The following is a 26096-nucleotide window of genomic DNA, read 5'->3' as shown; positions in this document are numbered from 1 at the left end:
GGGCATTTCAGATTCAACATGGCCACAACTGAACTCTTGATTCCCACCCCAGCACCGGTTATTTTTCCACTGTTCCCATCTCAATGGCACCTCCATTACCCATTTGCACATTCCAAAAGCTCAGGAACCATGGTGACTTCTTTTCCCATATCCAACACAACCAATCCTATCCTGAATTCATCCACATCCCACCACCTCCCCAGCTACCTAGCTCCAGCCATCCTCTCTCCACAACCTCTGAATCAGTCTTTCACTTTTCCCAGCAATCCATTCTCCACTCAGCAAAATGATGATAAAGCACGTCACATCAAGGCTCTGCCTCAATTTAATGGCTTCCCATTGTATTTAGAATCATCTCCAAACTCCCAGAGACTATGGTCAGCTACAATCTGGCCCACCTTCTGTTCCAGCCAAATTTCCTCACAGCACAAGGACGTTTGCACCTGCTGTTTTCCAAGCATGAAACCCTTGGCCCCTATATCTGGTGCTATCACCTAATATCAGGTTTTAGCTCCATTCTCACCATTTCAGTGAGCACCCAATCCCCATCGCAGTCATTCTATCACATAGCCATGTTTTTTTTTGTTTGTTTGTTTCATTTTGTCTTTTTTTGAGACAGGGTCTTGCTTTGTTACCCAGGCTGGAGTGCAGTGGTGTGATTTGGGCTCACTGCAACCTTCCACCTCCTGGGTTCAAGCAATTCTCCTGCCTCAGCCTCCCGAGTAGCTGGGATTACAGGCGCCCGTCCCCATGCCCGCCCAGCTAAATTTTGTATTTTTAGAAGAGATAGGGTTTCACCATGTTGGCCAGGCGGGTCTCAAACTCCTGACCTCAAGTAATCCGCCTGCCTCGGTCTCCCAAAGTGCTGGGATTACAGGTGTGACTCACCGCGCCTGGCCACATACCCATGGTTTCAGCATGTATCACTATCTAAAATTATTATTTTTGTTTATATATCTGTGTCGTCCCATAGAATGTTAAGGTCCCAAGATCAGAAACTTGCTCATTGCAGTGGGTCTAACACTCAGTAGGTCCTCAACAAACATTCGTTAAGATACTAAAGTGGCAGGGTGGGGCCCTGTAAACAGCTTCAGGACCCTGTGCTTGTAGGGGCAACGTGGTGCCCTCCAAGGAAGACAGGGAGGTGGGAGGAGCACTGCCCAGAGATGGCGTCAGGCTGCAAGACTTCTTGAATAATTCAGCATCATAACAACCCAGCCTCAGGAAGGGATAGGGCACGGCCAGGACGAAACATTAGGAGGCGATGGACAATGGGATTCCCACGGGGCAGCTTCTGCGCACTGGACGTTCCCTAACCTGAGGCTCTCTAAAGAGGAAGGTTAGGAATCCTCTGAGCTTCGGTGGGCTGGACTCACTGTGGGAATTCAATCGCCCCCATCCACCAACAGTGTGCTGGCGGGAAAACGCCGACACGCATGCGTAGTTCTCGCGCCGGCTCCTCTCTCTCTCTCTCTCTCTCTCGCTCGCTCTCTCGCTCTCTCGCTCTCTCTCGCTCGCTCTCTCGCTCTCGCTCTCTCTCTCTCTCCGGCTCGCCAGCGACACTTGTTCGTTCAACTTGACCAATGAGACTTGAGGAAGGGCTCTGAGTCCCGCCTCTGCATGAGTGACCGTCTCTTTTCCAATCCAGGTCCCGCCCCGACTCCCCAGGGCTGCTTTTCTCGCGGCTGCGGGTGGTCGGGCTGCATCCTGCCTTCAGAGTCTTACTGCGCGGGGCCCCAGTCTCCAGTCCCGCCCAGGCGCCTTTGCAGGCTGCGGTGGGATTTCGTTTTGCCTCCGGTTGGGGCTGCTGTTTCTCTTCGCCGACGGTAGGCGTAATGAATATTTCGACCTTTGGATCTTAGCTGTCCCCTCCCTGCGTTCGCACTTAACCTTTTTCACCATTATTATTATTATTGTTATTATTATTATTTTTTGAGGGAGTCTCGCCCTGTCGCCCAGGCTGGAGTGTAATGGCGCCTTCTTGGCTCACTGCAACCTCCGCCTCCCGGGTTCAGGCGATTCTCCGACCTCAGCCTCCCAAGTACGTGGGATTACAGGCACCCGCCACCACGCACGGCTAATTTTTTGTATCTTTTAGTAGAGACGGGGTTTCACCATGTTGGTCAGGCTGGTCTCCAATTCCTGACCTCGTGATCCGCCCGCCTCGGCCTGCCAAACAGCTGTGATTATAGGCGTGAGCCACCGCGCCCGGCCAACCATCATTATTATTTTTAACGGTAAGGATGGTCAGATTTTACTAATGAAGAAGAGATTATAAAATCTTCAAGTCTTTATATCCACTTGCTTTTTGAGGGGTGGAGTGGGAAGAAGGTTATGTAATTCATACGTTCTTCAGACATGTGACAAACATTCACGGAGCCCGGCGACGAGCGTCGGGGTTGGGATTCGCACTGGAGCTGCAGATGGGTGCCAGGATGGACTGGTCCCTACCCTCCGCTTGAACCTAGGAGGCGGAGGTTGCAGTGAACCGAGATCGTGCCACTGCACTCCAGCCTGGGTGACAGAGATACTCCGTCTCAAAAAAAAAAACAAAACAAAAAACAAGCGGACTGGGCGCAGTGCCTCACCCTGTAATCCCAGCACTTTGCAAAGCCAAGGCGGGAGGATCCTTTGAGTTTAGGAGTTTGAGACCAACCTGCGCAACACAGTAAGACCCCGTCTCTACAAAAAATACAGAAATTAGCCAGGTGTGGTGGTGTGCGCCTATAGTCCCAGCTATTCTGGAGGCTGAGGTGGGAGGATTGCTTATTCTGGAGGCAGAGGTTGCACTGAGCCGAAATCAAGCTACTACACTCCATCCAGGGCAACATACGGAGACCCTGTCTCAAACAAACAAACAAAAAATTGCTCAGTACCTGGCCAAAAAAGAAGAGGCTCACTATGCAGAGGGGAAGTGGAAGGAGATGTTTGGACTTCTAAACTCAATAGAGCAGGAGAGGCAAATGTAGAATGTGCTCAGGAAATATCTGTGAGATGAATGAACTTGAGGGAAGTAAGGTACTAGATATTACCTGCCCTACCCAGAACAAATCCTGTGCAATGTTTCCTTGAAAAGTGAGAAGTCTGGAAGGGGTGGCTACTGACATAGTGAAGCAACTAGTTCAATTCTACAACTTGACAGCTACCCCTGTGCCAGGCTATCTACGAGGATACTTAGAATGCATAAGACATTCCTTCAAGGAACTCCAGGAACAGAGGCCTGACATGTTGCAATGTTTAGTGTCAAGCAGTGTACTAGAGACACATTATCACACTCAAACCTCACAACAATTCTGTGAGGTAGGAGTTATCACTCCCCTTTTATAGATGAAACAGAGGCTTAGAGTGATTGATTTATTGAAAGTCAAACAGCCAGTAAATGGTGTAGCCAGGATTCCAAACTTGCTGTCTCACTGAGACTGTACTTAATTACTGGAGGGACCGGGTGTGGTGGCTCATTGCTATAATCCCAACACCTTGGGAGGCTGAGGCTGGTGGATCACCTGAGGTCAGGGGTTCGAGACCAGCCTGGCCAACATGGTGAAACCCCATCTCTACTAAAAATACAAAAATTAGCTGGGCATGGTGGTGGGCTCCTGTAATCCCAGCTACTCAGGAGGCTGAGGCAGGGCAATTGCTTGAGCCGAGATCACACTGCACTCCAGCCTGGGCAACAGGGCAAGACTCTGTCTCAAAACCAAAAAAAAAAAAATTACTGGAGGAACCTAGAAGAAGAAATGATCAATTTTGCTTGGAGTGTATCTAGAAAGACTTCACTGAGATCATTTAAAGAACAAAAAGGATGGCTGGGGTCCAGCGCAGTGGCTCATGCCTGTAATCCCAGCACTTTCGGATACCAAGGCAGCAGATCACCTGAGGTCCAGAGTTTCAGACCAGCCTGGCCAACATAGTGAAACCCCATCTCTACTAAAAATAAAAAAATTAGCTGAGCATGTTGGAGGGCACCTGTAATCCCAGCTACTTGGGAGGCTGAGGCAGGAGAATCACTCGAACCCAGGAGGTGGAGGTTGCAGTGAGCCAAGATCACGCCACTGCACTCCAGCCTGGGCAACAGAGTGAGACTCTGTCTCAAAAAACAACAACAACAAAAAATACAAACAAGAGACAAGTAGTTCCCAGGTGCCTACCAAGTGGTCAGGCACTGCACTTACCTCACTGACTGCAGTAACCACCCTTTGAGGTTGTGGCATTGCCTCCATTTTCCAGGCAAGGAAATGGGCTGAGAGCTGGGATTAGTCAGGTCATGACTGTGTGTGCCACTCCCGCTAAATCTCATTTGATGTGGTTCATGAGGCCACACCATGGACAGCTTCCTCCTTGTGTCCACTGAGGATATGGCTTTGTACAACACTTTGGTTTTTGAACGACTTTACAAACCTCCCTGTCTTGTGAGGAAGGAAGAACAGTTATTACCATCTGCATCTGATGATGAAACAAGGGACGCTGCAGAGGAGCCGCACTGACCACTCCCTCCCTCCAGTCCTGTCATCCCACTGCCAGTGTCCCACCCTCTTGTGCCCTGCACTTCACTGGCTAATAACCCCCCTCACTTTTTCCTCTGTGAAGCCATCCTGGATAATTCCCCACCCACGAATGGTCCCTCCTCATCTCAGAGAGCTCTCCATGCACACCTGTTACCGTTTCTGTCTTTATCTGTAAATATCTGTGTGTCTGACTTCCATGCCTCACACACCTCTATAGGGCAAAGACTGTCTTAAACATCTTGGTAGTGTCAGTATTTTGCACAGTGAAGTTTTTTTTTTTAAATTATATCAGCTTTATTTGTACCTTTTTGACATTTCTATCAAAAAAGAAGTGTGCCTGCTGTGGTTCCCATCCTCTGGGATTTAGGAGCCTCTACCCCATTCTCCATGCAAATCTGTGTTCTAGGCTCTTCCTAAAGTTGTCACCCATACATGCCCTCCAGAGTTTTATAGGGCATATAATCTGTAACAGATGAGAGGAAGCCAATTGCCCTTTAGAAATATGGCTGTGATTGCCTCACTTCCTGTGTCATGTGACGCTCCTAGTCATCACATGACCCATCCACATCGGGAAGCCGGAATTACTTGCAGGGCTAACCTAGTGCCTATAGCTAAGGCAGGTACCTGCATCCTTGTTTTTGTTTAGTGGATCCTCTATCCTTCAGAGACTCTGGAACCCCTGTGGTCTTCTCTTCATCTAATGACCCTGAGGGGATGGAGTTTTCAAGTCCTTCCAGAGAGGTAAGAGAGAGAGCTCCCAATCAGCATTGTCACAGTGCTTCTGGAATCCTGGCACTGGAATTTAATGAATGACAGACTCTCTTTGAATCCAGGGCCATCATGGCTCTTTGAGCAAGGCACAGATGGAGGGAGGGGTCGAAGTTGAAATGGGTGGGAAGAGTGGTGGGGAGCATCCTGATTTGGGGTGGGCAGAGAGTTGTCATCAGAAGGGTTGCAGGGAGAGCTGCACCCAGGTTTCTGTGGGCCTTGTCCTAATGAATGTGGGAGACCGGGCCATGGGCACCCAAAGGCAGCTAAGCCCTGCCCAGGAGAGTAGTTGAGGGGTGGAGAGGGGCTTGCTTTTCAGTCATTCCTCATTCTGTCCTCAGGAATGTCCCAAGCCTTTGAGTAGGGTAAGCATCATGGCTGGCAGCCTCACAGGATTGCTTCTACTTCAGGCAGTGTCGTGGGCATCAGGTGAGTGAGTCAAGGCAGTGGGGAGGTAGCACAGAGCCTCCCTTCTGCCTCATAGTCCTTTGGTAGCCTTCCAGTAAGCTGGTGGTAGACTTTTAGTAGGTGCTCAATAAATCCTTTTGAGTGACTGAGACCAACTTTGGGGTGAGGATTTTGTTTTTTTTCTTTTGAAACAGAGTCTTACTCTGTTGCCTGGGCTGGAGTGCAGTGGTGCAATTTTGGCTCATTCCAACCTCTGCCTCCCAGATTCAAGCGATTCTCTTGCTTCAGCTTCCCAGGTAGCTGGGATTACAGGCGGCCACCACTACGCCCAGCTAATTTTTGTATTTTTAGTAGAGACGGGGTTTCACCATGCTGGCAAGGCAGGTCTCAAACTCCTCACCTCAGGTGATCCGCCCACCTCGGCCTCCTAAAGTGCTAGGATTACAGGTGTGAGCCCCTGCGCCCGGCCAAGGGGTGAGGAATTTTGAAACCGTGTTCAGTCTCTCCTAGCAGATGTGTCCATTCTCCATGTCTTCATCAGACCTCACTCTGCTTGTACTCCCTCCCTCCCAGGTGCCCGCCCCTGCATCCCTAAAAGCTTCGGCTACAGCTCGGTGGTGTGTGTCTGCAATGCCACATACTGTGACTCCTTTGACCCCCCGACCTTTCCTGCCCTTGGTACCTTCAGCCGCTATGAGAGTACACGCAGTGGGCGACGGATGGAGCTGAGTATGGGGCCCATCCAGGCTAATCACACGGGCACAGGTAACCATTACACCCCTCACCCCCTGGGCCAGGCTGGGTCCTCCTAGAGGTAAATGGTGTCAGTGATCACCATGGAGTTTCCCGCTGGGTACTGATACCCTTATTCCCTGTGGATGTCCTCAGGCCTGCTACTGACCCTGCAGCCAGAACAGAAGTTCCAGAAAGTGAAGGGATTTGGAGGGGCCATGACAGATGCTGCTGCTCTCAACATCCTTGCCCTGTCACCCCCTGCCCAAAATTTGCTACTTAAATCGTACTTCTCTGAAGAAGGTGAGGAGGAAGGGGACAAGATGACATAGAGCCATTGAAACTTTTCGTTTTTCTTTTCTTTTTTTAAAATTTTTTTGAGGCAGAATCTCACTCTGCCCATTCTGTCGGCGAGACAGGAGTGCAGTGGTGTGATCTCCCCTCACAGCAACCTCTGCCTCCCAGGCTATAGTGATTCTCCTGCCTCAGCCTCCTGAGTAGCTGGAATTATAGGCGTGCGCCACTACCACCTGGCTAATTTTTGTATTTTTAGTAGAGACAGGGTTTCATCATGTTGACCAGGCTAGTCTTAAACTCCTGACCTCAAATGATATACCTGCCTTGGCCTCCCGAAGTGCTGGAATTACAAGTGTGAGCCACCGAGCCCAGCAGACACTTTTCTTTTTTCTTTTTTTTTTTTTGAGACAGAGTCTCGCACTGTCACCCAGGCTGGAGTGCAGTGGCACAATCTCAGCTCACTGCAACCTCCACCTCCCGGGTTCAGGTGATTCTCCTGTCTCAGCCTCTCGAGTACCTGGGATTACAGGTGCCTGCCACCACGCCCGGCTAATTTTTTGTATTTTTAGTAGAGACAGGGTTTCACTATGTTGGCCAGGATGATTGCGAACTCCTGACCTCGTGATCTGCCCACATCGGCCTCCCAAAGTGCTGGGATTACATGCGTGAGCCACTGACACTTTTCTTTGCCCTTTCTTTGGACCCTGACTTCTGCCCATCCCTGACATTTGGTTCCTGTTTTAATGCCCTGTGAAATAAGATTTCACCGCCTATCATCTGCTAACTGCTACGGACTCAGGCTCAGAAAGGCCTGCGCTTCACCCAGGTGCCAGCCTCCACAGGTTCCAACCCAGGAGCCCAAGTTCCCTTTGGCCCTGACTCAGACACTATTAGGACTGGCAAGTGATAAGCAGAGTCCCATACTCTCCTATTGACTCGGACTACCATATCTTGATCATCCTTTTCTGTAGGAATCGGATATAACATCATCCGGGTACCCATGGCCAGCTGTGACTTCTCCATCCGCACCTACACCTATGCAGACACCCCTGATGATTTCCAGTTGCACAACTTCAGCCTCCCAGAGGAAGATACCAAGCTCAAGGTAGGCATTCTAGCTTTTTCAGGCCCTGAGGGCCCTGATGTCTGGGGGTTGAGAAACTGTAGGGTAGGTCTGCTTGTACAGACATTTTGTCCCCTGCTGTTTTGTCCTGGGGGTGGGAGGGTGGAGGCTAATGGCTGAACCGGATGCACTGGTTGGGCTAGTATGTGTTCCAACTCTGGGTGCTTCTCTCTTCACTACCTTTGTCTCTAGATACCCCTGATTCACCGAGCCCTGCAGTTGGCCCAGCGTCCCGTTTCACTCCTTGCCAGCCCCTGGACATCACCCACTTGGCTCAAGACCAATGGAGCGGTGAATGGGAAGGGGTCACTCAAGGGACAGCCCGGAGACATCTACCACCAGACCTGGGCCAGATACTTTGTGAAGTAAGGGATCAGCAAGGATGTGGGATCAGGACTGGCCTCCCATTTAGCCATGCTGATCTGTGTCCCAACCCTCAACCTAGTTCCACTTCCAGATCTGCCTGTCCTCAGCTCACCTTTCTACCTTCTGGGCCTTTCAGCCTTGGGCCTGTCAATCTTGCCCACTCCATCAGGCTTCCTGTTCTCTCGGTCTGGCCCACTTTCTTTTTATTTTTCTTCTTTTTTTTTTTTTTGAGAAGGAGTCTCTCTCTCTGTCACCCAGGCTGGAGTGCTGTGGCGCCATCTTCACTCACTGTAACCTCTGCCTCCTGAGTTCAAGCAATTCTCCTGCCTCAGCCTTCCAAGTAGCTGGGATTATAGGCGCCTGCCACCAGGCCCAGCTGATTTTTCTATTTTTAGTAGAGACGGGGTTTCGCCAGGCTGTTCTCGAACTCCTGAACTCAAGTGATCCACCTGCCTCGGCTTCCCAAAGTGCTGGGATTACAGGTGTGAGCCACCACACCCAGCTGGTCTGGTCCACTTTCTTGGCCGGATCATTCATGACCTTTCTCTTGCCAGGTTCCTGGATGCCTATGCTGAGCACAAGTTACAGTTCTGGGCAGTGACAGCTGAAAATGAGCCTTCTGCTGGGCTGTTGAGTGGATACCCCTTCCAGTGCCTGGGCTTCACCCCTGAACATCAGCGAGACTTCATTGCCCGTGACCTAGGTCCTACCCTCGCCAACAGTACTCACCACAATGTCCGCCTACTCATGCTGGATGACCAACGCTTGCTGCTGCCCCACTGGGCAAAGGTGGTAAGGCCTGGACCTCCATGGTGCTCCAGTGACCTTCAAATCCAGCATCCAAATGACTGGCTCCCAAACTTAGAGCGATTTCTCTACCCAACTATGGATTCCTAGAGCACCATTCCCCTGGACCTCCAGGGTGCCATGGATCCCACAGTTGTCGCTTGAAACCTTTCTAGGGGCTGGGCGAGGTGGCTCACTCATGCAAACCCAGCACTTTGGGAAGCCGAGGCGGGTGATCACCTGAGGTCAGGAGTTTAAGACCACCCTGGCCAACGTGTTGAAACCCTGTGTCTACTAAAATACAAAAAAAAAAAATTATCTGGGCATGATGGTGGGTGTCTGTAATCCCAGCTACTCAGGAGGCTGAGAAGGGAGAATCAGTTGAACCCGGGAGATGGTGGTTGCGGTGAGCCGAGATCGCGCCACTGCACTCCAGCCTGGGAGGCTGAGCGAGACTCCATCTCGAAACAAAACAAAACAAAACTATCTAGGCTGGGGGTGGTGGTTCATGTATGTATGTGTATATACATATATATGTGTTTATATGTATATATATATACACACACACACATACATACACACACATACACACACAAATTAGCTGGGTGTGGCACCCGTGTAGTCCCAGCTACTCAGGAGGCTAATGTGGGAGGATCAGTTGACCCTAGGAAGTCAAGGCTGCAGTGAGTCGTGATTGCGCCACTGTACTCCAGCCCGAGTGACAGAGTGACATCCTGTCTCAAAAACAAAAAAAAATCTCCCCAAACCTCTCTAGTTGCATTCTTCCCGTCACCCAACTCCAGGATTCCTACAACAGGAACTAGAAGTTCCAGAAGCCTGTGTGCAAGGTCCAGGATCAGTTGCTCTTCCTTTGCAGGTACTGACAGACCCAGAAGCAGCTAAATATGTTCATGGCATTGCTGTACATTGGTACCTGGACTTTCTGGCTCCAGCCAAAGCCACCCTAGGGGAGACACACCGCCTGTTCCCCAACACCATGCTCTTTGCCTCAGAGGCCTGTGTGGGCTCCAAGTTCTGGGAGCAGAGTGTGCGGCTAGGCTCCTGGGATCGAGGGATGCAGTACAGCCACAGCATCATCACGGTAAGCCACCCCAGTCTCCCTTCCTGCAAAGCAGACCTCAGACCTCTTACTAGTTTCACCAAAGACTGACAGAAGCCCTTCCTGTCCAGCTTTCCCCAGCTAGCCTGCCCTTTTGAGCAACTCTGGGGAACCATGATTCCCTATCTTCCCTTTCCTTCACAGGTCTGCACACCTCATTGCCCCTTTTGCAACTACTGAGGCACTTGCAGCTGCCTCAGACTTCTCAGCTCCCCTTGAGATGCCTGGATCTTCACACCCCCAACTCCTTAGCTACTAAGGAATGTGCCCCTCACAGGGCTGACCTACCCACAGCTGCCTCTCCCACATGTGACCCTTACCTACACTCTCTGGGGACCCCCAGTGTTGCGCCTTTGTCTCTTTGCCTTTGTCCTTACCCTAGAACCTCCTGTACCATGTGGTCGGCTGGACCGACTGGAACCTTGCCCTGAACCCCGAAGGAGGACCCAATTGGGTGCGTAACTTTGTCGACAGTCCCATCATTGTAGACATCACCAAGGACACGTTTTACAAACAGCCCATGTTCTACCACCTTGGCCACTTCAGGTGAGTGGAGGGCGGGCACCCCCATTCCATACCAGGCCTATCATCTCCTACATCGGATGGCTTACATCACTCTACACCACGAGGGAGCAGGAAGGTGTTCAGGGTGGAACCTCGGAAGAGGCACACCCATCCCCTTTTGCACCATGGAGGCAGGAAGTGACTAGGTAGCAACAGAAAACCCCAATGCCTGAGGCTGGACTGCGATGCAGAAAAGCAGGGTCAGTGCCCAGCAGCATGGCTCCAGGCCTAGAGAGCCAGGGCAGAGCCTCTGCAGGAGTTATGGGGTGGGTCCGTGGGTGGGTGACTTCTTAGATGAGGGTTTCATGGGAGGTACCCCGAGGGACTCTGACCATCTGTTCCCACATTCAGCAAGTTCATTCCTGAGGGCTCCCAGAGAGTGGGGCTGGTTGCCAGTCAGAAGAACGACCTGGACGCAGTGGCACTGATGCATCCCGATGGCTCTGCTGTTGTGGTCGTGCTAAACCGGTGAGGGCAATGGTGAGGTCTGGGAAGTGGGCTGAAGACAGCGTTGGGGGCCTTGGCAGGATCACACTCTCAGCTTCTCCTCCCTGCTCCCTAGCTCCTCTAAGGATGTGCCTCTTACCATCAAGGATCCTGCTGTGGGCTTCCTGGAGACAATCTCACCTGGCTACTCCATTCACACCTACCTGTGGCGTCGCCAGTGATGGAGCAGATACTCAAGGAGGCACTGGGCTCAGCCTGGGCATTAAAGGGACAGAGTCAGCTCACACGCTGTCTGTGACTAAAGAGGGCACAGCAGGGCCAGTGTGAGCTTACAGCGACGTAAGCCCAGGGGCAATGGTTTGGGTGACTCACTTTCCCCTCTAGGTGGTGCCAGGGGCTGGAGGCCCCTAGAAAAAGATCAGTAAGCCCCAGTGTCCCCCCAGCCCCCATGCTTATGTGAACATGCGCTGTGTGCTGCTTGCTTTGGAAACTGGGCCTGGGTCCAGGCCTAGGGTGAGCTCACTGTCCGTACAAACACAAGATCAGGGCTGAGGGTAAGGAAAAGAAGAGACTAGGAAAGCTGGGCCCAAAACTGGAGACTGTTTGTCTTTCCTGGAGATGCAGAACTGGGCCCGTGGAGCAGCAGTGTCAGCATCAGGGCGGAAGCCTTAAAGCAGCAGCGGGTGTGCCCAGGCACCCAGATGATTCCTATGGCACCAGCCAGGAAAAATGGCAGCTCTTAAAGGAGAAAATGTTTGAGCCCAGTCAGTGTGAGTGGCTTTATTCTGGGTGGCAGCACCCCGTGTCCGGCTGTACCAACAACGAGGAGGCACGGGGGCCTCTGGAATGCATGAGAGTAGAAAAACCAGTCTTGGGAGCGTGAGGACAAATCATTCCTCTTCATCCTCCTCAGCCATGCCCAGGGTCCGGGTGCCTGGGGCCCGAGCAGGCGTTGCCCGCTGGATGGAGACAATGCCGCTGAGCAAGGCGTAGCCCACCATGGCTGCCAGTCCTGCCAGCACAGATAGGATCTGGTTCCGGCGCCGGTATGGCTCCTCCTCAGTCTCTGGGCCTGCTGGTGTCTGGCGTTGCGGTGGTACCTCAGCTGAGGGTCAAGGAAGGAAGGTGTGTTAGGAGAACTAGTTCTTGGATCCCTGCCCACTCTCCCCAGGGCTGCCCCTCCCATCTGCCCCTTACCTCCATCCCAGGGGAAGTAGAGACTGAGAATGTGGGTACAATAGGCACAGAGGTTGTGCAGCCCACGCAGGTGGACCTGCAGCTTCCCACTGGGCAGCTTTGCCTGCAGCAGCAGGGCCAAGTAGCTGAAGACGAAGGCGTCCAAGGAGGCAGGGCTGGAGCAGAGAGAGAAGGGTGGGATGGAGGAGAACCACTGGGGTAGAAGGGGTAAAGATGGAGCTGGAGGAAGAGTCAGCCTTGGGAGGTGGGCTCTGGGCAGCAGGCGGCCACCAGGGAAGGACAGGACACACAGTTCTAGACCTGGTATGGGGAGAGATCCCCAGGTGGCGCCAGCCTGGCCCTGAATAGGGCTCTATCCCAGGGCTGCATAAAGGGCACACTCAGTGCCCCACAGCTCTTCAGGCCCTTCCTGTGCCTGGCTGCCCTCCCACCCTACCCTTTTGTACCTCTGAGAAGGCTCTGGCCCCACGCACAGCCCCACTGTCACCAGGGCCAGTATCTGTCTCAGGGACCTCCTATCCAGAGCCTGAGCCAGCCCCAGCCCCAGCCCCAGCTCCAGCTGCTCCATCTGAACCTGTATCTTCTTCCAAGCCACCCATTACCCTCTTGGAGTCAGACTCACGCATCTCCAAAGAAGAACTTTTGAGAGCCCAGGCGCTGAGAGAGCAGGGTCAGACACTCCCGAGCCTCTCGGTACAGCTGTAGGGGCGACACAGGTAGGCTTGCAGCTGCGGGAACAGTGCCACCTCCGCACCTAAGCACTCCCATTCCTGGCCAGCATCCTTGGGGCTCATCTCATACAATAGCCCCCGGTCTCAGAGCTACCTCCTTCTCCAGCTCTTCCTCGTCCTCAGGCCTGTGCTCCCCAGTCAGCAGCTGTAGCCGTTCCATGTACTGCCGCTGCATGCGGCCAGGCAGGAAGAAGTTGAGGGGAAAGGGCATAGCCTCTGCATACCACTTCCGGGTCACTTCTACGTAGTTCTTGGTGTCTATCCAAAAAGTATGTACCTGGATTGGGTGGGCAGGAAGAAACAGGCAGGTCTGAGCCAGTGCACCTGTCTGATTCAAGGTGGGCTTCTGACCTCCATGCTCTCCTGAGTCTCTGTGTGGGTCTGTGTGTTCCCGTCCCCTCCCCGGCTGGCCATGGATGCTGGGAGGTCTGGGCACACTCACCAGCACCGGGATCAACTTCTCCTCCAGGAGAGACATGAAGGCCAGGGTGTCTGCCCCTTGCTGAGCTGACAGATCATAATCAGCATTGTACTTCTGTGGAGGAAATATCCATGGCGTGGACGCTGGGGAGCTGCAAGGGCACTTCACCAGGGAGGAAGGAGTCCTGTCTGGTACCCCCCTCACTGGCCTCTGAGTGCAGTGGAGGTACAGCAAGGAACTTTTCCTGCCAAGGCCCCCTTGCCTGGGCCCAGCCAGTAGCCTGTTGCTGTTGGCAAAAAGCCTGGGCCTTGGAGCCCGCTGGCCGTCAAGGTCCTGGGCCCATTGAGAAGAAGGAAGAAAGGTTGGGCCGCAAACTAGGAGCAGCTCCCAGAATTTCCATGGAAAGCTGGAACAATGCCTGCTGACAGCAACTTTCTAACAGTAACTTTCCCGACCCAGACACCACAAAGCTAGCACAACGGAGCTCAGATGCAGGCTAGGACTCGGTCCATGCCTCAGGAACCAGGGAAAGCCATCCTCACACTCCCTGGATCCAGGGAACCCACGCCCAGGGCCCCCCAGCTTGTTCCCTCAGTGCCCAGCTCTTGGCTATTTCTTTCACTTCATTCCATCGCCCAGACACCATTACCACATACACATTCCATCCATACCCCCAGGTCTCAGCCTGCCCTACCTTCCCAGGCTCCAGTCCCTGTTCCTCAGCATCCCCCACCACATCCTGAGTAAGCTTTGTCCCCAGATAACCTCTTCAGCATGATCCTTAAATCTCCCTAAGCCTCAGTTTCTCCCCTGTGGAATGGGGGTAAGAATCTCTTTCTCTGAATGCCCCTGTGTTAGGAAATAATTTAGAATACTTCGGAAACAAAAAGCTCTGTTCACACCTAAGCAATCAGGGCAGTGGCCCTGGCCTTGCCAGGAACTTAGGCTTTTATCTGGATCCTCTTTCCAGGCCTCTCAATTAATTCCCCAGGTCCTTAACCTTTGGGAAATTAGAAATTAGGAAGAGTGTCCCACTTCTGACACTGTGTTCCCTCTTGGAACCTGACCGTCAATGCTAGAAGAACCCTTGGAAAACATGCTGGCCCAGCCCTCTAGTTTTACAAATAAGGGAGTGCACAGCCCTGAGAGGTTACATGGCCTGCCCAAGATCACGCAGTCAATGGCAGAGTAAAGAGCATAGCCTAGGCCTCCCCACTCCTCTAGTAATGCTCTTTCATCTTCTCCAACCTGGCTCTAAGCCTTGTCCATCCTGAGCCCCATATCTAGCCCAACCTAGTCCCTGAAAACAAGAAGTGGCCCTTAGAAATCTCTCTCCAGTCCCACTATCAGAGGCCAACTGCTGTCTTCCAGTCTCCTTCAGCCTGTGCTCCTCTCCCTCCCTGACTGACAGGCAGAAGGTACCGTGCCTCTGGATATCCCCACAGTGCCCTGAGCTGCATCTCTTGCCGACTGCTTTAATACATCACAGTGACATTGTGTGTGTCTCTGCCACCAGACTATTGCTCCTTGATGCTCTGGGTCACCTGCATCTAGCATGGCATATATCTAGTGCTCAATAAATGTGTATTGTACGGAATTGACTGAACTTCTCTCACTGGCAGCCCCCTCTATCCAAATCACCCACCTCTTTTTGAAGGTGGGTGATGATCTTGTGTGGTACTGAGGTGACCTCTCCATGACTGGTCCAAAGGGCAGGCAGGGTTCCTGATACTGAGAGAAAAGTATACCAACCAGGACCTTAGCTGCCTATCCATACGTAGTTGCAACACATTCCTGCCTATCTCCTGCTTCTCCTCTTGTACACACCCTTCCTCACCCCCAAGGGATACTGGGTACCTGAAGGGCTCTGCCAGGGGTTGCTGATCTTGTGCTATATGGTGCACAAGAAACTTTTAAGAAAAAAGAAACTTTCAAGACACACTTTCCAACCACGAATTCTATCTCTGCTCCTTTTCATAGCAATAGGTTTTCTTTTTCTTCCCTCCACACTTAAACATCCATTCTCTTATCACCCACCCCCATCAGACTCCTTCCCCTGTGTTTCTTCAGCCACTGCTCTGACCAAAATTTGAGTGACCAAAAGTGGTGTCAGACCCAGTGACCATTTCTCTGCCTGCATTTCACTTGACCTTGAAGCAGCAATTAATCTCCATAATCAGCATCTTCTTGAATTTTTCCCTTTGAGGACATTGCTCTTCTACTTTGTGCTCTGGTTATCCTTTACAAACTTTTACACCTCTCCTGAACTGGTTAACAGTAGAGGGCCCCAAGGGTCTCACGTAAGCCTTCTTTGTTTTTGTTTTTTTTCTTTTCTTTTATTTTTTATATATTTTTTTGAGACGGAGTCTTGCTCTGTTGCCCGGGCTGGAGTGCAGTTGCACGATCTCGGCTCACTGCAAGCTCTGCCTCCCAGGTTCATGCTATTCTCCTGCCTCAGCCTCCCGAGTAGCTGGGACTACAGGTGCCTGCCACCATGCCTGGCTAATTTTCTGTATTTTTAACAGAGACAGGGTATCACCATGTTAGCCAGGATGGTCTCGATCTCCTGACCTCGTGATCTGCCCACCTCAGCCTCCCAAAATGCTGGGATTACAGGCGTGAGCCACTGCTCCCAGCCGTCATTTTTATTTTATTTTATTTATTTTTTTGAGATGGAGTCTTGCTCTTTTGCCAGGCTGGAGTGCATGGTGCGATCTCGGCTCATTGCAACCCCCGCCTCCCAGGTTCAAGCGATTCTCCTGCCTCAGCCTCCTGAGTGGCTGGGACTACAGGTGCCTGTCACCATGCCTGGCTAATTTTCTGTATTTTTAGTTGAGACAGGTTTTCACCTTGTTAGCCAGGATGGTCTCGATCTGCTGACCTCGTGATCTGCCTGCGTCGGCCTCCCAAAGTGCTGGGATTACAGGCATGAGCCACTGCACCCGGCCATCAATTTTTTTTTTTTTTAAATGGAGTCTTGCTCTGTCACCCAGGTTGGAGTGTAACAGTGCAATCTTGGCTCATTGCAACCTCCGCCTCTTGGGTTCAAGCGATTCTCCTGCCTCAGCCTCCTGAGTAGCTGGGACTACAGGTGCATGCCACCACACCCGGCTAGTTTTTGTATTTTTAGTAGAGACGGGGTTTCACCATGTTGTCCAGGATGGTCTCAAACTCCTGACCTCAAATGATGTGCCTGCCTTGACCTTCCAAAGTGCTGGGATTAGAGGCGTGAACCACATTGCCCACCGTAAGCCCTCTTTTCTACTTCCACTCTTTCTGTAGGTGGCCCTACTACTAACGTCCATGGCTTTAAGTACCATCTTTCTATGTGTTAATGCATAAGTCCAGCCTTGACCTCTCTTGAGCGCCATCCAACTCAGCATATCTGGTTGGATGTCTAATGAGTATTTCAAATTCAACATGGCCACAACTGAACTAACTGAACTCTTTTTTTTTTTTAGGCAGAGTTTTGCTCTTGTTGCCCAGGCTGGAGTGCAATGGCGAGATCTTGGCTCACTGCAACCTCTGCCTCCAGGGTTCAAGCGATTCTCCTGCCTCAGCCTCCCGAGTAGATGGGATTATAGGCCCCGCTACCCGGCTAATGTTTTTGTATTTTTAGTAGAGACAGGGTGTTGCCATATTGACCAGGCTGGTCTGCAAATCCTGACCTCAGGTGATCCCCCTGCCTCGGCCTCCCAAAGTGCTGGAATTACAGGCGTGAGTCACTGCGCCCGGCCACACAACTGAGCTCTTCATTCCCACCCCAGCACCGGTTATTTTTCCACTGTTCCCATCTCAATGGCACCTCCATTACCCATTTGCACATTCCAAAAGCCCAGGAACCATGGTGACTTCTTTTCCCATATCCAACACAACCAATCCTATCTTGAATTCATCCACGTCCCACCACCTCCCCAGCTACCTAGTTCCAGCCACCCTCTCTCCACAACCTCTGAATCAATCTTTCACTTTTCCCAGCAATCCATTCTCCACTCAGCAAAATGATGATAAAGCACGTCACATCAAGGCTCTGCCTCAATTTAATGGCTTCCCATTGTATTTAGAATCATCTCCAAGCTCTCAGAGACTATGGTCAGCTACAATCTGGCCCACCTTCTGTTCCAGCCAAATTTCCTCACAGCACAAGGACGTTTGCACCTGCTATTTTCCAAGCACGAAACCCTCGGGCAGATATATCTGGTGCTGTCACCTAATTTCAGGTTTTAACTCCACTCTCACCATTTCAGTGAGGACCTAATCCCCATCGCAGTCATTCTATCACATAGCTTTATTTTATTTTATTTTATTTTTTTTTGAGATACAGTCTGGCTCTCTCACCCAGGCTGGAGTGCAGTGGTGTGATCTGGGCTCACTGCAAACTTCCATCTCCTGCGTTCAAGCGATTCTCCTGCCTCAGCTTCCCGAGTAGCTGGGATTACAGGTGTCTGCCATCACGCCTGACTAAGTTTTGTATTTTCAGTAGAGACGGGGTTTTGCCATGTTAGCCAGGCTGGTCTCGAACTCCTTGACCTCAAGTGATCCACCTGCCTCAGCCTCCCACAATGTTGGATTTACAGGCGTGAGCCACTGCTCCCGGCCACATAGCCATGTTTTAAGCATGTATCACTATCTAAAATTATTTTTTGTTTATACGTTTGTGTCGTCCTGTAGAATGTAAGGTCACAAGATCAGGGACTTGCTCATTGCACTGGGTCTAACACACAGTGCTTCCTCAACAAACACTCGTTAAGATACTAACGTGGCAGAGTGGGGCCTTGTAAACAGTTTCAGGACCCTGTGCTTGTAAGAGCAACGTGGTGCCCTCCCAAGGAAGACAGGGAGGATGCAGGAGCACTGCCCAGAGATGGCGTCAGGCTGCAAGACATCTTGAATAATTCACCATCGTAACAACCCAGCCTCAGGAAGAGATGGGGCAAGGCCAGAACGAAACATTAGGTAAGAGGCGGTGGACAATGGGATTCCCACAGGGCAGCTTTTGGGCACTGGACGTTCCCTAACCTGAGGCTCTCTGAAGAGGAAGGTTAGGAATCCTCTCAGCTTCGGTGGGCTGGACTCACTGTGGGAATTCAATCGCCCCCCCCCACCCACTAAGGGTGTGCTGGCGGGAAAGCGCTGAGACGCATGCGTAGTTCTCGCGTCTGGCACCCGCTCCCTTTCCAATACGCTTGCGCCCCGTCTGTGCTACGGATGGTCAGGGAGAGTTGTCCGTCTTCAAATGGACCAATGAGACTTGTGGAGGGGCTCTGAGTCCCGCCTCTGGATGAGTGACCGTCTCTTTTCCAAGTGAGGCCCCGCCCCGCCTCCCCAGGGCTGCTTTTCTCGCGGCACGGGTGGTGGGGCTGCTTCTTGACTTCCGCGCCTAGTGCGCAGGGCCCCATTCTCCAGTCCCGCCCACGCGCCTTTGGAGGCTGCGGTGGGATTTCCTTTTGCCTTCGGTTGGGGCTGCTGTTTCTCTTCGCCGACGGTAGGCATTATAAATATTTCGCCCTTTGAATTTTAGCTCTCCCCTCCCGGCGTTCGCACTTAGCCTTTTTCATCATTATCATTATTTTTAATGGTAAGGATGGTCAAATTTTACTAATGAAGCGATTATAAAATCTTCAAGTCTTTGTATCCACTTGCTTTTTGAGGGCTGGAGTGGGAAGAAAGGTATATAATTCATTCATTCTTCGGACATGTGACAAACGTTCACGGAGCGCGGCAACGAGCGCCGGTGTCGCGATGCGCACTGGGGCTGCACATGGGAGCCAGGATGGACTGGACTGGTCCCTGCCCTGCCCGCTGACGATTGGCAGGCCACTGCCTTTGATGAGCTGGGCGCTATAACTGCCATTAAGCCATTTGTACAATTAATCACAACAGTGATAAGAGCGACAAAGGAGCTATTCGGGTGGCTGAGGCGGGAGGATCTTTTGAGCCTAGGAGTTCGAGACCAGCCTGGGGAATAGAGCGAGATCCTGTCTCAAAAAAAGGGGGAGAAAAAGTGACAAAGAAGTTGTGAGGGCTATGAGTTTGCGTTAGAGGAGGTGTGTGAGGTGGGGAGGCGGCAGGGGGCGCGGTTGTTCTTAGAGAAAGTGACATCCGGGCTAATTTTGAAAGAATAAGTGTTAACTAGGCTAAGCGGTGGGAAAGAGTAGTGTGTGCTGAAGGAAGGGAAGAGGAACCTGGCAAGTTCATGGCAGGCTGTAATTGGATGCTGGTCTCCCTCCACACTTGACTCCTACAGTCTGATTTCTACACAGCACCCAAAGTGATCTCTTAAAAATACACATGTGATCTTGTCACTTCCCAGCACCAAACTCTACAGTGAATTTCCATCTTAGAACAAAATTCAGACTCCTTACCATGGCCACCAAGACCCTACACAATCTGGCCTCCCAATTTCCTTTTCCAAGGTCACCTTTTACCACTATCCATCTCACTCACACTGCTCCAGCACTCTCTATGCTTTTATTTTTCTTTCTTCCTCTTTCTTTCTTTCTTTCTTTCTTTTTCTTTTTCTTTCTTTCTTTCCTTCCTTCTCTCTCTCTCTCTTTCTTTTCTTTTCTCTTTCTTTTTTTTTTTTTTGAGATGCAGTCTTGCTCTGTCACCCAGGTGGTGTGATCTTGGCTCACTGCAACCCAGAGCAGTGGGGGTGATCTTGGCTCACTGCAGCCTCCGCCTTCCAGGTTCAAGCAATTCTGCCTCAGCCTCCTGAGTAGCAGGGATTAGCGCCATCAGTCCCAGCTAATTTTTGTATTTTTAGTAGAGATTTCATCATGTTGTCCAGGCTGGTCTCGAACTCCTGACTTCAAGTGATCTGCCCATCTCAGCCTCCTAAAGTGCTGAGATTACAGGCAGGAGCCACCACACCTGGCTCAGTATTTGTTTTATTTTTGTTGTGTTTATTTATTTAGAGACAAGGTCTTGCTCTGTTGCTCAGGCTGGAGTGCTGTGGCAGGAACACAGCTCACTGCAGCCTCCACTACCTCAATTCAGGCGATCCTCCCACCTCAGCTGAGACTACAGGTGTGCATCACCATGCCTGGTTAATTTTTTCGTTTTACCATGTTGGCCAGGTTTGTCTCGAACTCTTGGGCTCTGCTGTCCTCCTACCTTAGCCTCCCAAAGTGCTAGGATTGTAGGCGTGAGCCACTGTGCCCAGCTGGTGTTCAGTATTTGAATCCATATTTCCTGTAGCCGCAACCAAAGTTCCACTGTTAGGTCTCACTTTGACTTTAATAATTGTGTTCAGGCTGGGCACACTGGCTCAAGCCTGTAATCTCAGCAGTTTGGGAGGCCGAGGTGGGTGGATCACATGAGGTCAGGTGTTTGAGACCAGCCTGTCCAACATGGCGAAACCCTGTCTCTACTAAAAATACAAAACATTCTCCGATCGTAGTGGCGGGCGCCTGTAATCCCAGCTACTTGGGAGGCTGAAGGAGGAGAATTGCTTGAACCTGGGAGGCAGAGGTTGCAGTGAGCGGAGATCACGTCATTGCACTCCAGCCTGGGCTACAGAGCGAGACTCTGTCTCAATAAGTAAATAAATAAATAAATAAATAAATAAATAAATAAATAAATAATTGTGTTCGGAGTCAGCATCATTCTTCCTGAAGTTCACCACTCCTTTGCCAAGAACACTTCCTGAAACACTGACAAGCAGGACCTTGAATAATGGGGTATGGTTGGTAACAACTCACTCATTCAACAAACATTGAGCACCTATTTTGTGCTTGCCTCTAAATGAAGAGCTGGTTGTATTATTTATTTTTTTAGGTGACAGGGCTTTCCCTATGTTGCCCAGGTTCGTCTCAAACTCCTGGGCTCAAAAGATCCTCATCTTCTCAAGTGGTTGAATATACACGCTCCAGCGACCATGCCTGGCTGAATGAAGAGCTTTGAGATTTTGAAGAAACAGGAACCATGAAATTTGCTTTGCAACTGTTTGCAACCTTTAAGGAAGACTGAAAAGGCATTCCTGAAGCATGTGAGAAGCAGTCTGTGTGACCTGATGACTCAGAACTGCTTGGAATTTAGATTAGGACAGATATGAGCTTAGGCTTCACTCTGCCACATATTTAACTTCTCTAAGTCTTAGTTTTCTTTTCTTTTTTTTTTTTTTTGAGATGGAGTCTCGCTCTGTCACCCAGGCTGGAGTGCAGTGGCACGATCTTGGCTCACTGCAAGCTCCGCCTCCCGGGTTCACGCCATCCTCCTGCCTCAGCCACCCGAGTAGCGGGGACTACAGTCGCACACCGCCACGCCTGGCTAAATTTTTGTATTTTTAGTAGAGACGGGGTTTCACCGTGTTAGCCAGGATGGTCTCGATCTCCTAACCTTGTGATCCGCCCGCTTCGGCCTCCCAAAGTGTTGGGATTACAGGTGTGAGCCATCGCGTCTGGCCTCTAAGTCTTAATTTTCTTATCTGTAATGTAGAGTTGTCAGGCTAGTGCATGTAATAAGCACTCATGAAAGACTGACTATTATCTTGCGAAAAATTGGAAGAGATCATATGAGGTACAAGGACCTTCCATCTGCACTGGGCTGTACATTGAATGTTGTGGTTACTGTTGAAGCATTGGTAAATCACATGAATCCAATGGTAAAACCACACCCTAAGGTCAGACTCAGTGGCTCACGCCTGTAATTCCAGCACTTTGGGAAACCAAGGCAAGAGGATTGCTTGAGCTCAGGAGTTCGATACCAGTCTAGGCAACCTGTTTCTATAAAAAGTTAAAAAATTAGCTTGGTGTGGTGGTGTGCACTTCTGGTCCCAGCTACTCAGGAGGCTAAGGTGGGAGGATCCCTTGAGCCCAGGTGGTCGAGGCTGCAGTGAGCCAGGATCACACCATTGCATTCCAGCCTGGATGACAGTGTGAGGCCCTGTCTTAAAAAAGACAAAAACAAACCAAAAAAACCCACACCCTAGTGGGTAAGGGGCAGCAGAGGTCCCACCCAAGAGTGAAATCATTTTTGGTGTCAGTAATCAGGGAGAGTAATATACCCTCAGGCCAGAAACTAGAGGTGAGTGATGGCTCACGCCTATAATCCCAGCACCTTGGGAGGCTGAGGCAGGTGGATTGCTTGACCTCAGGAATTCGAGACCAGCCTGGGCAACATAGGAAGACCCCATCTCTAAAAATAAATTTCAAAAATTAGTTGGGCATGGTGGCATGTACCTGTAGTCCCAGCTACTATGGAGGCTGAGGTGGGAGGATCCAATTGAGCCTGAGAGGTCAAAGCTGCAGTGAATTGTGATTGTGCCAAGACCCTGTCTCTAAAATAAAATAAAATTACAATTAAAAACTAGAGCTGAAAGGACAGGTTCTAGGTTAACTGGTAGTAGTTGTTCATTCATCTGTATAAAAAGTACTTTTTTGAGCACCTACTCTGTGCTGTGCATGGAATGAACAAATGTCTTTATTTGACTTGAACACAGACCATAGAAGTAACTAACAGTGGAACTGGGAGTGGCACTCTCCATGGGACCTAAAGACCTAGGAGCCTGTGATATGATACCTGTCAGTGTGAAAGGGCTGGAGTTTGCTATCTGAGCCAGACCTACACTCCAAGACAGGTCTTGCTGGGATGGGATCAAAATTGCTGCTGGGTCAGCCGAACTATTTTTGTACTTCTGCTTTTCACTTATATTTATGTCTTCCCTAGGTATATAGCTGTCTTTTTTTGTTTGCTTGTTTTTCTGAGTCAGAGTCTTGCTCTGTCACTCAGGCTGGAGTGCAGTGGCGCGTCTCGGCTCACTGCAACATCCACCTCGGGTTCAAACGATTCTCCTGCCTCAGATTCCCGAGTAGCTAGGATTACAGGTGCCCACCACCATGCCCGGCTAATTTTTTGTATTTTTAATAGAGATGGGGTTTAGTAGAGACAGGGTTTCACTGTGTTATCCAGGATGGTCTCCATCTCCTGACCTCGTGATCTGCCCGCCTCAGCTTCCCAAAGTGCTGGGATTACAGGCATGAGCCACTGCGCCCGGCCACTGGAGACCCCTTTTCTACCAAAAAAAATAAAAATAAATAAATAAATATATATATATATTTGTAAAGACGGAGTCTCTCTATGTTGCCCAGGCTGGTCTTGAACTCCTGGCCTCAAGGGATCCTCTTGTCTCAGCTTCTTAAAATGATGGGGTTACAGGCATGAGCCACCGTACCAGGCCTTAGCAAACTCTTTTTCAAGTGCTATACAAAGGGGACAGAGGAACGTGATTGTGGCCACCTAGTATGCCCCTATTGGCCACTGCAGTGAGGCCTAGGTGTTTGAAGAGAGGCACCTAGGGTAGTGGCTCTCAGGCACACCCTAGGGGCATTTTGGAAATTTGTGGGGCATCTTTAATAGAGACAATGATTAGGAGGCACTTTGAGAATTTAGTGGATGGAGCCCAGGAAAGGTAGACATTCTGCAACATGTAGTACATTCATACACAAGGAAGAATTCACTCATTTCACCTGACTTACAAATATAAAATCAAATATAAATCAGTAGGACTTTATTATAAAATATTGCAGAAAAGTTTCACAAGAATTTTTTGTAGAAAAAGCCCAATCAGGGCCGGGCATGGTGGCTCATGCCTGTAATCTCAGGACTTTGGGAGGCCGAGGCGGGTGAATCACCTGAGGTCAGGAGTTTGGGACAAGCCTGGCCAACATGGTAAAACCCCGTCTTGACTAAAAATACAAAAATCAGCCAGGCATGGTGGTGTGCGTCTGTAATCCCAGGTACTCGGGAGGCTGAGGCAGGAGAATCGCTTGAACCCAGGAGGCGGGGTTTGCAGTGAGCCAAGATCAAGCCACTGTGCTCCAGCCTGGGTGAAAGAGCAAGACTCCGTCGAAAGAAAGAAAGGAAGGGAGGAAGGGAGGAAGGGAGGGAGGGAGGGAGGGAGGGAAAGAAAGAAAAAAGAGAAGAGAGGGGAGGGGAGGGAAGAGGAGAAAAGAAGGAAGGAAGGCAGGAAGGAAGGAATCCAGTCGAGATCGTTAAATTTGTTGTAATTTTGTCTTTGGCACAATAAACATTAGTCCTTATTAAAACTAACTTTACTTAGAAAATAAAATAGAAAATCCTCAAGGACAAATCACATTGTACAGGAAATATGAAATGTGAAATAATATCCACCTTGGAAATTTTTTTTTTTTGAAACAGAGTGTTACTCTGTCTCCCAGGCTGGAGTGCAGTGGCACAATCTTGGGTCTCTGCAACCTCTGACTCCTGGGTTCAAGTGATTCTCGTACCTCAGCTTCCCAAGTAGCTGGGATTACAGGCGTGCACCACCACACCCAGCTAATTTTTGTATTTTCATTTCAGATGGGATTTTGCCATGTTGGCCATGAACACCTGTCCTCAAGCTATCCACTGCCTCAGCCTCCCAAAGTGCTGGGATTATAGGCATGAGCTACCGTGCCCAGCCACCCTGGAAAAATTTTACAAAATGAAGTATAAAAAGAAGAAAAGAGGGGCGGGCATGGTGCCTTGTGCGTGTAATCCTAGAACTCTGCAAAGCCGAGGCAGGAGATCCTTTGGGTTTAGGAGTTTGAGACCAACCTGCACAACATAGCAAGACCCTATTTCTACAAAAAATACAGACACTAGGCTGGGCGTGGTGGCTCACGCCTGTAATCCCAGCACTTTGGGAAGCTGAGGCCAGCAGATCACGAGGTCAGGAGATGGAGACCATCCTGGCTAACATAGTGAAACCCTGTCTCTACTAAAAATACAAAAAATTAGCCGGGTGTGGTGGCAGGCGCCTGTAGTCCCAGCTACTCAGGAGGCTGAGGCAGGAGAATGGCGTGAATCCGGGAGGCGGAGCTTGCAGTGAGCCGAGATCGTGCCACTGCACTCCAGCCTGGGAGACAGAGCAAGACTCCGTCTCAAAAAAAAAAAAATTTTGCTCAGTACCTGGCCAAAAAAGAAGCAGCTCACTCCCTGTACACAGAGGGTAAGAGAAAGGAGATGGTTGAACTTCTAAACTCGCTAAAGCAGGAGAGGCAAATGTGGAATGTGCTCAGGAAATATCTGTGAGATGAATGAATTTGAGGGAAGTAAGGTACTAGATAATTACCTGCCCTACCCAGAACAAATCCTGTGCAACGTTTCCTTGAAGAGCAGGAAGTCAGGCCGGGTGCTGTGGCTCACGCCTGTAATCCCAGCCCTTTGGGAGGCCAAAGTGTGCGAATCACCTGAGGTCAGGAGATTGAGACCAGTCTGGCTAACATGGTGAAACCCCATCTCTACTAAAATACAAAAATTAGCCGGGCGTGGTGGTGCGTGCCTGTAGTCCCAACTACTTGGGAGGCTGAGGCAGGAGAATTGCTTGAACCTGGGAGGCAGAGGTTGCGGTGAGCTGAGATCGGCCACTGCACTCCAGACTGGGTGACAGAGTGAGACAACATCTCAAAAAAACAAAAAAAAAAGAGAAAAGCAGGAAGTCTGGAAGGGGTGGCTACTGACATAGTGAAGCAACTAGTTCAATTCTACAACTTGACAACTACCCCTGTGCCAGGCTGTCTACAAGGATATTTAGAATGTGTAAGACATTCCTTCAAGGAACTCCAGGAACAGAGGCCTGACATGTTGCAATGTTTAGTGTCAAGCAGTGTACTAGAGACACATTATC

At 50.5% G+C, this 26096-nt stretch overlaps 1 protein-coding gene and 2 pseudogenes across 6 annotated transcripts in view, besides 9 other annotated features; 2 read left to right on the top strand and 1 right to left on the bottom strand.

Annotated features, from left to right (window-relative positions):
- Window positions 1575–2538: an enhancer, noted in NCBI's record as "OCT4-NANOG-H3K27ac-H3K4me1 hESC enhancer chr1:155213585-155214548 (GRCh37/hg19 assembly coordinates)". NCBI's record gives its function as "activates a minimal SCP1, AML or CMV promoter by ChIP-STARR-seq in primed H9 embryonic stem cells {active_cell/tissue: H9 hESC(primed)}" and the evidence as "EXISTENCE:reporter gene assay evidence [ECO:0000049][PMID:30033119]".
- On the top strand, window positions 1705–11880 carry GBA1 (glucosylceramidase beta 1). 5 transcript variants are annotated; one of them, NM_001005742.3, is made up of 12 exons: window positions 1705–1826; window positions 5171–5246; window positions 5615–5702; window positions 6255–6446; window positions 6570–6716; window positions 7682–7815; window positions 8026–8198; window positions 8754–8991; window positions 9863–10087; window positions 10488–10651; window positions 11021–11137; window positions 11232–11880. In NM_001005742.3, exons 2-12 carry the CDS (start codon window positions 5220–5222, stop codon window positions 11335–11337), a joined length of 1611 nt encoding a protein of 536 aa, NP_001005742.1. In that variant the 5' UTR covers window positions 1705–1826; window positions 5171–5219; the 3' UTR covers window positions 11338–11880. The 5 variants fall into 5 exon arrangements, with proteins under 5 accessions (NP_001005742.1, NP_001005741.1, NP_001165282.1 ...); NM_001005741.3 differs by having other exon boundaries at window positions 5152–5246; NM_000157.4 differs by lacking the exon at window positions 1705–1826 and having other exon boundaries at window positions 5083–5246.
- Window positions 6240–6257: a non allelic homologous recombination region, noted in NCBI's record as "sub-region a, recombines with sub-region a' within the GBAP1 recombination region". NCBI's record gives the evidence for it as "EXISTENCE:nucleotide sequencing assay evidence [ECO:0000219][PMID:11112377]".
- Window positions 6240–12693: a biological region, named in NCBI's record as "GBA recombination region". NCBI's record gives its function as "recombination_partner: LOC106627982".
- Window positions 6502–6527: a non allelic homologous recombination region, noted in NCBI's record as "sub-region b, recombines with sub-region b' within the GBAP1 recombination region". NCBI's record gives the evidence for it as "EXISTENCE:nucleotide sequencing assay evidence [ECO:0000219][PMID:12587096]".
- Window positions 7477–7577: a non allelic homologous recombination region, noted in NCBI's record as "sub-region c, recombines with sub-region c' within the GBAP1 recombination region". NCBI's record gives the evidence for it as "EXISTENCE:nucleotide sequencing assay evidence [ECO:0000219][PMID:12587096]".
- Window positions 8391–8725: a non allelic homologous recombination region, noted in NCBI's record as "sub-region d, recombines with sub-region d' within the GBAP1 recombination region". NCBI's record gives the evidence for it as "EXISTENCE:nucleotide sequencing assay evidence [ECO:0000219][PMID:11042032]".
- Window positions 10188–12693: a non allelic homologous recombination region, noted in NCBI's record as "sub-region e, recombines with sub-region e' within the GBAP1 recombination region". NCBI's record gives the evidence for it as "EXISTENCE:nucleotide sequencing assay evidence [ECO:0000219][PMID:12587096]".
- MTX1LP (metaxin 1 like, pseudogene) lies at window positions 11881–15356 on the bottom strand (annotated as a pseudogene).
- GBA1LP (glucosylceramidase beta 1 like, pseudogene) overlaps window positions 18798–26096 on the top strand; it is a 13710-nt pseudogene continuing 6411 nt past the window's right edge. Inside the window, 1 exon segment of the transcript NR_002188.3 lies at window positions 18798–18950. The product of NR_002188.3 is annotated as a glucosylceramidase beta 1 like, pseudogene (transcript).
- Window positions 18819–19396: an enhancer, noted in NCBI's record as "H3K27ac hESC enhancer chr1:155196727-155197304 (GRCh37/hg19 assembly coordinates)". NCBI's record gives its function as "activates a minimal SCP1, AML or CMV promoter by ChIP-STARR-seq in primed H9 embryonic stem cells {active_cell/tissue: H9 hESC(primed)}" and the evidence as "EXISTENCE:reporter gene assay evidence [ECO:0000049][PMID:30033119]".
- Window positions 18864–18913: a silencer, noted in NCBI's record as "silent region_1399". NCBI's record gives its function as "represses an Ori minimal core promoter by ATAC-STARR-seq in GM12878 lymphoblastoid cells {active_cell/tissue: GM12878}" and the evidence as "EXISTENCE:reporter gene assay evidence [ECO:0000049][PMID:35858748]".

Source organism: Homo sapiens, chromosome 1 (assembly GCF_000001405.40).
Source record: "Homo sapiens chromosome 1, GRCh38.p14 Primary Assembly".
NCBI classification, from domain to species: domain Eukaryota; kingdom Metazoa; phylum Chordata; class Mammalia; order Primates; family Hominidae; genus Homo; species Homo sapiens.
The sequence above is the reverse complement of the archived record's forward strand: the minus strand, read 5'-3'. Positions and strand labels throughout refer to the sequence as shown.